The 13,946-nt window shown below is 42.9% G+C and overlaps 1 protein-coding gene and 1 non-coding gene across 4 annotated transcripts in view; both read right to left on the bottom strand.

Moving 5' to 3' along the window:
• The window catches only part of DNAJC16 (DnaJ heat shock protein family (Hsp40) member C16), a 44,886-nt gene that overhangs the window by 28,181 nt on the left and 2,759 nt on the right, over positions 1-13,946 (bottom strand). For all 3 annotated transcript variants that reach the window (NR_109898.2, NM_015291.4, NM_001287811.2), the window contains 2 exons: positions 9,250-9,316; positions 6,739-7,078 (listed from right to left, as the gene is read on the bottom strand). Coding sequence is in view for 1 of the 3 variants with exons in the window: in NM_015291.4 (NP_056106.1) it covers positions 6,739-7,078; positions 9,250-9,316 (407 nt within the window). In the remaining 2 variants the exon portion in view is untranslated. The remainder of the gene's footprint in view (positions 1-6,738; positions 7,079-9,249; positions 9,317-13,946) is intronic.
• SCARNA21B (small Cajal body-specific RNA 21B) lies at positions 1,249-1,387 on the bottom strand. Its single transcript, NR_135613.1, has one exon.

Genomic DNA, 13,946 nt, shown 5'->3' with positions numbered 1-13,946 from the left:
GACCCATTTCAGCTGGAATAAAATGCACAATCCTCACAGAGGCCAACAAGACCCTTTGTGTTTGGCCCCTGGTTCCCCATGCCCTCTTCTTCCACTCCTCCAACAGCCTGCGCCAGTCCCCAGCGTCCTTGCTGTGCTATGAAGACAGTGGATGCTCCTGCCTCAGGGCCTTGGCTGTTCCTTCAGCCTGAAGTGTGCATCTCCGTGACTTCTGCGTAGCTGACTTCTTTACCAACTTCAAGTCCTGAATGCGGCCTACCTTGGCACCATATTTAAAACAGTACTCCCCACACTCAGGGTCCACACACAACCTGCTCACTTTAACTTTTTCCACAGCGTTTACCATCTTCTAAGGTACCACCCACTTTCCTTCTGTCAATTGTTTATTGTCTGTCTCCCCTTCTAGAATGTAAGCCTCATGAAGATAGGGATCCCTTTGTAGTCCACTGATGTATCCCCAACACCAGACCAGAGCCTGGCACATAGTAGGAGCTCACTGAAACTGGGCCATCAATCTATTTAATTCATTTATTGTTGCACACTGAAGTTGTGAGAGAGGAAAAACCAACCTGTTTTTCCTACTCACACTCAACACAATGCTTTCCCTGACACTCATTGTGTAAGAGATGGGGTCTCACTATGTTGCCCAGGCTGGTCTCAAACTCCTGGGCTCAAGCGATCTTCCTGCCTCAGCCACCTGAGTAGCTGGGATTCCAGGCACGTGCCACTATGCCCAACTCAATGCTTCCCTTCTGACACCACACGCTGTGGGGGTGGGGGTTCCCCATAAATCCTCCAGCAGACACCAATTGGGTATCAACTCAGTTCTGACACTATCTACCCAGAGGAAGCATCAGGTCCTGCAGGTGAAGGGTTCAGTCCCGTAAGACTGCTCCCACTTCAGACGCCAGAAGTCCCAGGTTGTGTCCTGTACTTCCAACCAACTGGCTATAAATCAAAGGGTCCCATGACCCTCCTTGGGTTCAACTAACTTGCTCGAGCTGCTCACAGAACTCAGGGGAACATTCCTTATGGTTACTCATTAGGTATAAGGGATATTACAAAGGAGACAGATGATCAGCCAGAAGGAAGAGAGGTACATGGTAAGGTATATGGAAGGGTGGGAGCATCCTGCCCTCCCAGGGCTCACCACCCTCCAGGCACCTCCATGTGTTCAGCCACCTGGGAACTCTCAAACCCAGTAGTTCAGGGATTAAATATATATATATGTTCATTTTTTTTGCCAGTAAATGTGAGGCTAGGACACCCCAGGTGAGGCTCCTTACTCAAACGCCTCTCCCATACGGGAGGATGCCTGGGCCCTCTACTGTAGGCTTGGCTGAGGGGAGGTGGTGTAGACTGAGCCCACCCCCCAGGAAACCGAGCCAGAGTTCAGGGATTTTTATGAAGGCTTCATCATACAGGCGTGATCAATTATTAACTCAATCTCCAGCCCCTCTCCTCTTTCTGGAGGATGAGGGTGAAACTTTCAAACTTCTAATCATGGTTTGTTTTTTCTGGTGACCAGCTCCCACACAGGGGCCCACTAAGAGTCGCCTCAATAGAACAAAAGATGCTCCCATCCTGCAGGAAATTCCAAGGATTAGGTGCTCCATCTCAGGAATCAGAGTCAAAGATCAAATACGAGAGCAAAAGATTATCTTAGCACCCCTATTGATCAGGCAATCTCAAGGGTGTTAGGAGATCTGTGCCAGGAACTGGGAACAAACACCAAAATATACATATATTTCTTATTATAAAGCACAATATTAAAGTTGCTTTTAGCCTAATTCTTAACATTATAAGGAATGCTGACGGGCATCCTTGTACATCTTTGTACATACATCTTTGTGCATACATCTTTGTGCTCTTGTGCGCTTATTTTCTAATTAGTAAATTCCTAAAATGAAATTGCTGAGTAAATGGCAGGGATCCCAAACTTAATGTTTTAAAACTGCTGAGCAGACTAAACCAAGCTCTCTGTAGGCTACCTGACTTTGACTGTTGCAGTCTCTCAAGGGCAGGAAAGGAGGAGCCTTAGGAATTGTATAGTCCGCTTCCCTCATTTTACAGATACAGAGAGAGGTTCAGAGAGGTAAAGTGACTTTTTCCAGGTTGCAGAGCTGACAGAATTGCAGAACAAGAATCCAAATTGGATTCTTGGCTCTTCTCTAGAGCCAAGTACAGTATACTATATCACACTGCAGTCATTAAAAATAACTATGGAACAATGTCAATAAATGGAAGCATACAGAGAATTATATGAGCAGAAGAAAGAAAAAGAATAAAGCAGGCACATACATTGGGAGATTTGGTCATTCGTAAAGACAGAAGAGACATCACCTAGGGAGGTCAACTGGCTACAAGACAAAGGCCCAAGGGAGGGATTATCACTTCTTGAGTGCCTTCTTTAGCACACCTAGAGCTTTATATACATTATACTTTTCATACTCACAATCATTCTGCAAGGTAAGTATTGCTATCTTTATGGCTAAGGAAACTGAAGCTGGGGGAGGGTGAGGCATCATGGTTTGTGTGCAGTGGAACCAGGATCTGAATCTAGTTCTAGCTGACCACAAAGCCTGGACTTCTTACTGCCTCCAATGACCAGTTCTGCCCCAGGTTCTGAACATTAGAGGGATCAATTTCTCAGTGACTGACTCACCCTAAATGACCTTACCAGGGATTGCTATATAGATTGAATGCCAATTTATGAACTGATCCTGGGAAATATGCCTTTCTAGTAACTGTGCCATTCAGTATACGTTATACCAGACCGAGCGCACACAGAAACCTGAATTAGAAACTGAAAAGTTGGCTGGGCACGGTGATTCATGCCTGTAATACCAGTGCTTTGGGAGGCTGAGGCGGGAGGATCGCTTGTGACCAGGAGTTTAAGACCAGCCTTCACCATCTCTTTCGTATCTCCTGGAGTTTAAGACCAATCTTCACCATCTCTATTTTACCTATAAGAAAACTGAGACATGGAGAGGTGAAGTCCCAGGGTGACAGAGTTGGCAAGTGACGGTGATGGGATCTGAACCCAGGAAGTCTGGCTCTGGGATCTGTGACGATTAACGTGATGAGTCTAAAAAAAAGTTAGCTGGGCATGCCCGTGTGTGCCTCTAGTCCTAGCTACGTGGGAGGCTGTGGTTGGAGAAATAGAATAAAGAATGATAAATATTTGGTGTTTTACATTTGTGGTTTTTTTCTTTTCTTTTTTTTTTGAGACGGAGTCTCATTCTGTCGCCCAGGCCAGACTGCAGTGGCGCAATCTCAGCTCACTGCAACCTCTGCCTCCCTGGTGCAAGCAATTCTCCTGTCTCAGCCTCCCCAGTAGCTGGGATTACAGGCACACACCACCATGCCCAGTTAATTTTTGTATTTTTAGTAGAGACAGGATTTTACCACATTGGTCAGGCTGGTCTCGAACTCCTAACCTCAGGTGATCCACCCGCCTTGGCCTCCCAAAGTGCTGGGATTACAGGCATGAGCCAACATGCCCGGCCACTTTATTTTATTTTTTGAGACAGAGTTTTGCTCTGTTGCCCAGGCTGGAGTGCGGTGACTCGATCTTGGCTCACTGCAACCTCCACTCCTGGGTTCAAGCAATTCTCCTGCCTCAGCCTCCTGAGCAGCTGAGATTACAGGCACGCACCACCACGCCTGGCTAATTTTTGTATTTTCAGCACAGACGGGATTTCACCATGTTGGCCAGGCTGGTCTCAAACTCCTGACCTCAAGTGATCTGTGCACCTCAGCCTATCGAAGTGCTGTGATTACAGGCGTGAGCCACCATGCCTGGCCAATTTGTGGTATTTTTCTTCCCGAAAAGATATTTAAAGACAGGTACAATGGCAGGCACCTCTAATCTCAGCTACTTGGGAGGCTGAGGCAGCAGGACTGCTTAAGCCCACGAGGTTGAGGTTGCAGTGAGCCATGATTATGCTATTACACCCTGGCCTGGGTGACAGAATGATGTCTCTTAAAAGAAAAAGAAAAAAAAAAGCCAGGCGTGGTGGCTCACACCTGTAATCCCAGCACTTTGGGAGACCGAGGTGGGCGGATCACGAGGTCAGGAGATCGAGACCATCCTGGCTAACACGGTGAAACCCCGTCTCTACTAAAAATACAAAAAAATTAGCCGGGCGTGGTGATGGGTGCCTGTAGTCCCAGCTACTAGGGAGGCTGAGGCAGGAGAACGGTGTGAACCTGGGAGGCGGAGCTTGCAGTGAGCAGAGATCGCACCACTGCACTCCAGCCTGGGCGACAGAGAGAGCCTCCGTCTCAAAAAAATAAAAAAAAAAAATAAAATAAAAAGGCATATGTGACTTATTTCAGAAACATTATTTGATGTTTATATAAATTGATGCTTCTGGCTAATCTGCACACCCTCGGGAATTAAAAATACTATACTGAGGCTGTGAGAGGGTCTTCCGTGCATTAGTAAACATCTGTCATACCCATAATTTGAGATGCCAAACAGCTCTCACTAAGCAATCCTAAACACATATCACACCCTTTAGGGAAGTTTTTTCCCCCCTCAGCTGCACATACACATTAATTTTCTCTCCACCTTTGAATAGGCCTTAGGGGATGGCACAGAGCCAACTGGAAGAACACGCCACTCGAATGTGGCTAAATACAAACATGCTGGTACACTAACCACAAGATGCAAAATAACGTGAAATGAAACAAAATCAAGAACACAGAGCTAAAGCAGAAAAATGCGTTATTTTTGCCAGTATTTAGGATGACTTTTTTTCTAGACAGTATGAGACTCTTATATACTTAGAAATCCTTAAAAGATAGGAATTAGTCTTTTTTTTGTTTTTCTGAGACAGAGTTTCGCTCACTGCCCAGGCTGGAATGCAATGGTGTGATCTCAGCTCACAGCAACCTCCAACTCCAGGGTTCAAGTGATTCTCCTGCCTCAGCCTCCCGAGTAGCTGGGATTACAGGCACGTGCCACTATGTCCAGCTAATTTTGTATTTTTACTAGAGACAGAGTTTCAGCATTTTGGCCAGGCTGGTCTCGAACTACTGACCTCAGGTGATCCGCCTGCCTTGGCCTCCCAAAGTGCTGGGGTTACAGGCATGAGCCACTGCGCCTGGCCAGGAATTAGTCTTCCTTTTTTTCTTTTTATTTTTTTTTCTTGAGACAGAGTCTCGCTCTGTCACCCAGGCTGGAGTGCAGTGGCACGATCTTGGCTCACTGCAACCTCTGCTTCCCGGGTTCAAGCGATTCTCCTGCCTCAGCCTCCGGAGTAGCTGGGACTACAGGCACCCGCCACCACTCCTGGCTGATTTTTGTATTTTTAGTACAGATGGGGTTTCACCATGTTGGCCAGGCTGGTCTCGAACTCCTGACCTTGTGATCCACCTGCCTCAGCCTCCCAAAGTGTTGGGATTACAGGTATGAGCCACCGTGCCCAGCAGTCTCTCTTTTTAAACAGGAAGTCATGGTGAATAAATTGCCAAACCCAGGTAATCACTGCCTGATCATCCAAATTGAGTTTCCCTAAAATGATATTTGATTTCAAGATGCTCAACTTCTGGGCCACGCTGGTAGCTCTGCCTGCACCTTCCAGCAAGCACTAAATGTGCTGAGATGATTGAGGTATGTTTCTTATGTGAGTTTCCTGGGCACAAGGACCATGATTTACTTATTTCTGAAGCAGTACGCGCGCAGTGTTTAAGACGGTCAGACTCCTGGGTCCAACCCAATACTGATGCTTATGGGTAGTGTAATAATGAATTAGTTCCTTAACCTTCAATGCCTTAGTTCCCTCACCTGTAAAATAGAGATAATAATAGTCTCTCCTTCATTGAGTTGCTCTGGGGACAAAAATAATGCACAGAAAGCATTTACCACAATGCAAGGGAACTGAAATGTTCAATAAAAATTATTATTATTATATATCCTTTAGTGTCTAATACAGTAATTGGAACATGAAAGTTGACTGAGAAAAAAGTTTCAAACGAAGGTATCTGTTTCATGGGCAAGGAGTTAGAAAATACAGAAGGAATTTCTTGTCATCTTTGTCTACTCCTTCAGTAAAACATTATTCTGTGCTTGCAAATGTGAGGTCAGTGTTAATTCTCTGTGTATATATTTTCTCTTCAACCAAATGGTGAACTCAAGGTCAGGGATGGTGCTAGTTCTGGGCCCTCTTCCACAGCACACTTCTCTTTAAACACTGGATGCTTTTACACACTAGTTTTTACCAGTGTGTGACTGAAGATTCCTTAGCTGACTTCCAACCCCCTTCAAGGCTCAGCTCACAATAAGTAAAAAATTGGTGCTTCGGAGTCACAGAGTTGAAGAAAGCAGACTAATACATTTAAGAAAGATTTTCAAAAAGGGTTTATAGAATAGGCAATTTAAAAAACCTGCTTTGGGGCCAGGCATGGTGGCTCCCACCTGACATCCCAGTACTGTGGGAGGCCGAGGCAGGCAGATCACTTGAGGTCAGGAGTTTGAAGCCGGCCTGGCCAACGTGGTGAAACCCTGTCTCTACTAAAAATACAAAAATTAGCTGGGCGTGATGGTGGGTGCCTGTAATCCCAACTACTCGGGAGGTTGAGGCAGGAGAATCACTTGAACCCGGGAGGTGGAGGTTGCAGTGAGCCGAGATCACACCACTGTACTCCAGCCTGGGCAACAGAGCAAGACTCCATCTTGAAAAAAAAAAAGTCATCTATATAAATATCTTTCAGTGAATAAAATTATCTTACCCAATTCTTCCAGTTCTTGAATGACTTCTTTCCACACAGGCTCGATATGAATGCAGCTAAAGCACCAATCGGAGGTGATCTTGATGAGGTAGGGTTTCTTGAAGCTATCTGGAACCACTTCATTCACATAATGTGAAAAGTGCAATAAATACTTTTCGTCAATTGAGTCCCGCCGTTCAGAATTAAAAGGGAAGTGAAAAAAGGATTCATCAAAATAAAAATTTTCATGGAAATGGCGGAAGCGATACTCTCGCTGCTGTTGCTGCTTCTGGTAGCCCTGGTTCTCTCCAGCGTCTCCATATTGATCATAATTTGATCTCTTTTCTTCATTTGAAAGAATCTATAAAGGAAGAAAAAAATCTAAACAACAACAAAAGGTTCATCCAAAAGACTTTTTTGTAAGCAGCTTGAAAGACATAGGAAGAAAATAAATGCAGCCAGTCGTGGTGGCTCACACCTGTAATCCCAGCACTTTGGGAGGCTGAGGCGGGTGGATCACTTGAGGTCGGGAGTTTGAGATCAGCCTGACCAACATGGAGAAACCCCGTCTCTACTAAAAATACAAAAAATCAAATCAGCCGGGAGTGGTGGCGCATGCCTGTAATCCCAGCTACTCGGGAGGCTGAGGTAGGAGAATTGCTTGAACCCAGGAGGCGGAGGTTGAGGTGAGCCGAGATGGTGCCACTGCACTCCAGCCTAGGCAACAAGAGCGAAACTCCGTCTCAAAAAAAAAAAAAAAAAAGAAAAGAAAAGAAAAGAAAAGAAATGTAAAAATTATGACACGATTATGTGAGGCCAAGGTTTGGAGGATCCCTTGAAGCCAGGAGTTCAAGACCAGCCTGGACCACATAGCATGACTTTGCTACAAAAAGAAAAAAAAAAATCGGCCAGGCATGGTGGTGCGTGCCTATAGTCCTAGCTACTTGGGAGGGTGAGGTGAGTGGGAGATTGCTTGAGCCCAGTAGTTGAAGGCTGCAGTGAGCTGTGATCGCATCACTGTACTCCAGCCTGGGTGACAGAGACAGACTGTCTCTTAAGAAAAAAGAAAAAAGATTATGACATAATTAGATATTCTTTTTCTTTTCGAGATAGAGTCTCACTCTGTCACCCAGGCTGGAGTGAAGTGGCGTGATCACAGCTCACTGCAGCCTCCATCTCTCAGGGTCAACCTTCCATCTCAGCCTCCTGAGTAGCTAGGACCATCAGCACATGCCACCATGCCTGGCTAATTTTTGTATTTTTCACCATGTTGTCTAGGCTGGTCCTGAATTCCTCAGCTTAAGCGATCTGCATGCCTCAGCCTCCCCAAGTGCTGGGATTACAGGGCGTGAGCAGCCACTGGGTCCAGCCGATTAGATATTCTAAATGCAGTCATTCAAAAGAATGAGAAACTCTTCTTTCACTAGAGAAACATTAAAGAACATTCAAGACTAAAATATTTCAGTTTAGGTACTCATGCTCATCTTGGCATTAAAGATTTCAAACTACCACAACATTAAACACTTCAGCAAAACAAATAAAATAACATAATGTTGATCACCAGGGCTCAATGACAAGAAAATTGACCTGGTCATACCTGGTGAGTTGGACCAATTCAAACCAAGATAAGAAAAGCTATGAACACCAAATAGCTATAGTCTAGTGCCTTGTCTGTTAATTTACTTTGTTTTACAAAATAACTTTGAAGTCTAAAATTCAGGAATCTGTTTTAGAATGATGACGTGTTATTCTATGAGCTAAGCACTGTCTGCTGAAGGGCATTCCCTATACAAATCAGAAAGCCACTGAATTCTCTTTGATGCATATTCCAGACCAATCTACTTGAGCTGACATACTGGAAAATTACTGAAAATCTTGTGTTTAAATGTATTTGTTACCTCGTGCCACTTTAATAAATATAGGCGATTTGGTATGTGATTCTTTAATGCATATTTCTAAGAAGGCAATAGTGACACATACAGACATACTCAGGGTAATTCTACAATTCTAGTTAAAGCCTTTAAAATAGGCCAGTTTTTCCAAGAGCTGAAGTGTTCAGGCACTTGTTCCAATATACTGGATGTGGCCAAATATGTTCTATTATTTTTTATTTTATTTTATTTTTTGAGACGGTCTCCCTCTGTTACCCAGGCCTCGATCTCTGCTCACTGCAACCTCCCACTCCCGGGTTCAAGCAATTCTCCTGCCTAAGCCTCCTGAGTAGCTGGGATTACAGGCACGTGCCACCACGCCCGGCGAATTTTTTTTGTATTTTTAGTAAAGACAGGGTTTCAGCATGTTGGTCAGGCTGGTCTCGAACTCCTGACCTCGTGATCCACCCACCTCGGCCTCCCAAAGTGCTGGGATTACAGGCATGAGCCACCGCATCCAGCCTGTTCTCTCTATTATAATCTAGAAACTGCATCAAGGGCATGGGGAACATGACCTTTCTGACAACTTTACAAAACTCATCACCTCCTAAGGCATATTTTGTAAGAGCTAATGGATGCATCACAAAGCTGGACACGATACCTCGTAAGCCTTACTGATTTGAATGAACTTGTCTTCTGCTCCAGGATCTTTGTTTTTGTCAGGATGCCTGAAACACAAACAGGCAGGCGGTGAGAAAGGATGTAACTTTTAATGCACAGTCATTTAATGTCCTTGTCCACAGAGTTCACTACAGAGGCAGACGGAGGGCTATTTTGTTAGGAAAGTTTCTTAAAATAAATGATAGAGGCAATCAGTTGTTTTACATGACTATAATAAATGAAACTTTGAAACAGGCTATTTTTTCCCAAAGCACTCCAGCAGGGCATGTTTTCAAAGCACCATATAATACTGCAGCATTTCACAGAGGAAGGTGGGAAATGGTGCATGTCTGTACACTGCTCCCAAACACTGCTAAAGCTGGCTGAAGGCTAAGTCGTTTATCCATAAGAACCCATGTCTTCTCCTAGGATGGCAACGTTTCATCCCAATGCTAGAATGATATCAGGATGCTAGAATGCTGTTGTTTCTTCTGATAACACAGGTAGACATGAGAAATAGCTTTTAGGATAGACTAAATTCATTTAGTAACAATCAGGTTTCAAACTGCACTTGTGCCTGACTTTCAAATTAGAACATTTTTCGTTATTATTACGATTGCTTTTTACCTGGATAAAGATTTCAAGGCCACTGTTTTTTTTGTTTTTTTGTTTTTTTTGAGACAGGGTCTCACTCTGTTGCCCAGACTGGAATGCAGTGGTACAATCTTGGCGCACTGCAACCTCTGCCTCCCAGGCTCAAGCGATTCTCTTGCCTCAGCCTCCCGAGTAGCTGGGATTACAGGCCTGCGCCACTATCACCCGGCTAATTTTTGTATTTTTAGTAGAGATGGGGTTTCACCATGTTGGCTGGGCTGGTCTCAAACTCCTGACCTCAAATGATCCACCTGTCTCGGCCTCCAAAAGTGTTGGGAATACAGGCGTGAGCCACCACGCCCGGCCTCAATGCCACATGTTTAACATTTTTTGCCATGTTGTCCAGGCTGGTCTCAAATTCCTGGACTCATGCCATCCTCCTGCCTTGGCCTCCCAAAGTGCTGGGATTACAGGTGTGAGCTACCACACCCGGCCAGCTTTGGAGATTTTAAAGTTCTCGATAGTAAGGGCTAGGTTTAATTCCTTGAAAGCCCCTAAGACCTAAATCAGTGTTTTATATGGACTGATTTTTCAATGTTCACTTTAAGAGACTTTGTATGACAGTATTCTTTACATAATCACTTTTGGTAACTTCTAGTAAATTTCCTCTGACATAGGTTCTGGAAAGAAAAACAATTCACTGGGAAGCAAATGACTATTAACGATACACCAAGCACATTGGAATAAAAAAAAATCTACAACTTAATGGATTTATTCTAGCAGGAATGTGTTTGAATGAATTATACCACATATTCTGATTTCTCTACAAATAAGGAAACTCCAAATTGTTGACTGCTGAGTTTAAAAATCATTCCTTCCTTAACCATTTAATCCTTGCTATGAGTATTAGTGGGGGAAAAAAATCTCAGCTAGTCATAATGAAAACAGCATGACTTAAGGAAACGAGATGGAGACTCCAAAGCATTTCTGGATGACAAAAAAAAACACAAAAATACCAACAAAACCAACCCATCAACCAAACCATCAGGCTGACGACTGAGTGGATCAAAAATTATGCAATCATACAAATGAAGATTTAACATATAGAACTCTGTAGAAGAAGGGTAGGAAGGGGCTTTTTAGGAGAATGAACCAAAGAGAGAGTCTTGAGGGCAGCTAGGTTAGAAAACACAGATCCTGAAACAGAGGAGGGCAAGGCTGAAGAACAGGGAGGAAACCACAGCACTTTCAGCTGTATTCATACGGAATACTTTCCTAATTGTGGGAAGACACCACAAGGTTGAAAACATAAAAAAAAAAATTCAGCCATAGGAAAGTATTGTCCAATGCTATTTTCAGTTAATATGAAATTATTTCAGGAACTGCAATATAATACACAATCTTTAAAATTCAAAGTAGAGGAAATATTGCGTGTAGTATCTACTGGCTCTCTAGTTACCTCTTAAAGGAATAAAAACAAAGATAGAGAAGGTAATACAGCAAAGAATTACACAAAATAATTTACTGTTAGTTTATTGCATAACCACGTCACACCAATCTGCCATTCTTTGGGTGGGAGGAGTTATTTCTTTTGCTAATGTGGATAACAAACAAAAAGTACCTACGATAAAACTTAATTATTGGGAGAAAAACATAGTTTTCCTAAGGGAAAAAGTAAAGTCAAATGGTTTCACCAAGCAAAGTAAAATTCTTAAGCAGTCTAAGAAACACTTAGTAAAATGTATCAGAGGAAGGCTCCAGATCCAACTCAACAAGTAACCACTTCCCCCTGCTATAGCTCATTCTGAAAAGTCAAACTGGGAAACACTGCTATTTTCAGTGTATATCAAGCCATTAGTAAGCAAAACTTAAACTATTCCAAGTGACAAAGCATTGTCATAGCCAAAACCGCAGAAAATAATAGTAGAGCAAAATTAAAAACGTAAAGTAAAATTTTAGACTTTTACTGGATGACACACTCAATACACTTCTATGGTGATGAATTATTCCTAGAGAGAATCTAATTAAAAAAGAGAAGAATATGACTCATTTAATTAATATCATAACACCCTTTTCAGCTCTGGAAGACAGAAAAGTCAAAGCTATACATTTTAATAGGTCCCACATACTCAAGCTGTCACTTGTGTTCTTAAAATATTGTCAAAGGCTATGCCTTGTCCAAAAGAATGTTGTTACCTTATGAATTTGCTGCAGATTTATATATCCTGCTTTAAACATAAAGAGGCAAGAGTCTGAAATGATGTAGAACATAACCTTGGTATAAAGAGTCCCTGGAAGGAGGTCATGTATAATTAGAGATTGCTTCTTTGGCATCCAATTCTGGATTTCTCATGGAATATGGTCTAAAACATTTATTTTAAAAATATATTTTCAATGATCTTTACCTTTATTTCAACCAGTTTAATGCTAAAATATACCTGTTCACTGAAGCAGAACAGTGTCAGGCGCAGTCACGCATGCAGTCTGTACCATGCATCACCTCAATGTGGCAGTTTTGCTTCTGGATAACTTCCTACTCGCATTCAGCTCCTCCCCAGCCAACCATTAGCCCACTCACCCTTACTCATGCCTAGATGTGTAAATGATTAAAAAACAATAAAGCAATGGACTACTGATGCAGAGGGTCAAACTACGGAACCCAGAGGTACCACAGATTTACCAACTCTAAGCCTCCATCTTCTCATCTATAAAACAGAGACACTGGCCGAGCATGGTAGCTCACGTCTGTAATCCCAGCACTTTGGGAGGCCGAGGTGGACGGATCACTTGAGGTCAGGAGTCTGAGACCAGCCTGGCCAATATGGCAAAACCCCGTCTCTACTAGAAATACAACAATTAGCTGGGTGTGGTGGTGCACGCCTGTAGTCCCAGCTACTTGGGAGGCTGAGTCAGGAGAATCCCTTGAACCCAGGAAGCGGAGGTTACAGTGAGCCAAGATTGTGCCACTGCATTCCAGCCTGCGTGACAGAGCGAGACTCCGTCTCAAAAAAAAAAGAGATACTGATATCCTCCTTCATAGGCTCATTATAAGGTTTAAATGAGATAAAAAGTATAGAACCAGGAGATTAGCATGTAGTAGGTGCTCAGTGATGGTACCTGTCCCAAACTTTCTTCCATTCCTCATGGTTGGTACAGCCAGCTTGGAGTCACCTCTGTCCTTTCCTCCTTCTGCTGCTCCCCCTCCATCTATATAATCCAACACTTCTGCTTCTTTGGCATGGCCAAGGCATTGGTGGAAGAAACTGATGATATTTGTCCAAAGTTTTAGATTTATTGCTACCCTGCTAATTGCTATCCTGATAACTACAGGCAAAATTACAATTTTCTGTAAGTTTTTTTTTTTGAGACGGGTCTCACTCTGTTGCCCAGGCTGGAGTGCAGTGGTGTGATTATAGCTCACTTCAGCCTCAAACTTCTGGGCTTTTTTTTTTTTTCCATAGTGATGAGGTGTCACTATGTTGCCCAGGCTGGTCTCAAACTCCTGGGCTCAAACGATCCTCCCACCTCAGCCTCCCAAAGTGCTGGGATTACAAACATGAGCCACCATGCCAGGCCAATTTTTTTTTTTGAGTAATATATAGTCAGCCCTCTATATCTGTTGGTTTCACATCCATGGATTCCACCAACCAAAATATAATATTTTCTATTTTGAAATATTCAAAAATATTTTTAAAAAATTGCATTGTACTGAACATGTACAGACTTTTTTCTTGTCATTATTCCTTAAACAATAACAGTATAACAACCATTTGCACAGCAGTTACATTGTATTAGGTATTATAAGTAAGCTAGAGATGATTTAAAGTATATGAGAGGACGTGCATAGATTATATGCAAATACTATGCTATTTTATATAGGGACTTGAGCATCCAATGACTTTGGTATTTCTGGGGATCCTGGAACCAAGACCTCATGGATATCAAGAGACAACTATCCTTGGTTTCTGAATTTTTTTTTTTGGAGGCAAAAGGCTATTACTCTTAACTTTTTTTCAAAGTGTAGAAATTAATAATTTAGAGAATAGGGTTGTATAGTGTTCCTGTTTAGCAATTACACTCATAAAGTTACTTTATGAATAATGT

The sequence above is a fragment of the Homo sapiens genome, chromosome 1 (assembly GCF_000001405.40).
Source record: "Homo sapiens chromosome 1, GRCh38.p14 Primary Assembly".
Taxonomy (NCBI): Eukaryota; Metazoa; Chordata; class Mammalia; order Primates; family Hominidae; genus Homo; species Homo sapiens.
Note: the sequence above shows the minus strand (reverse complement) of the source record. Positions and strands in the feature narration are given on the sequence as shown.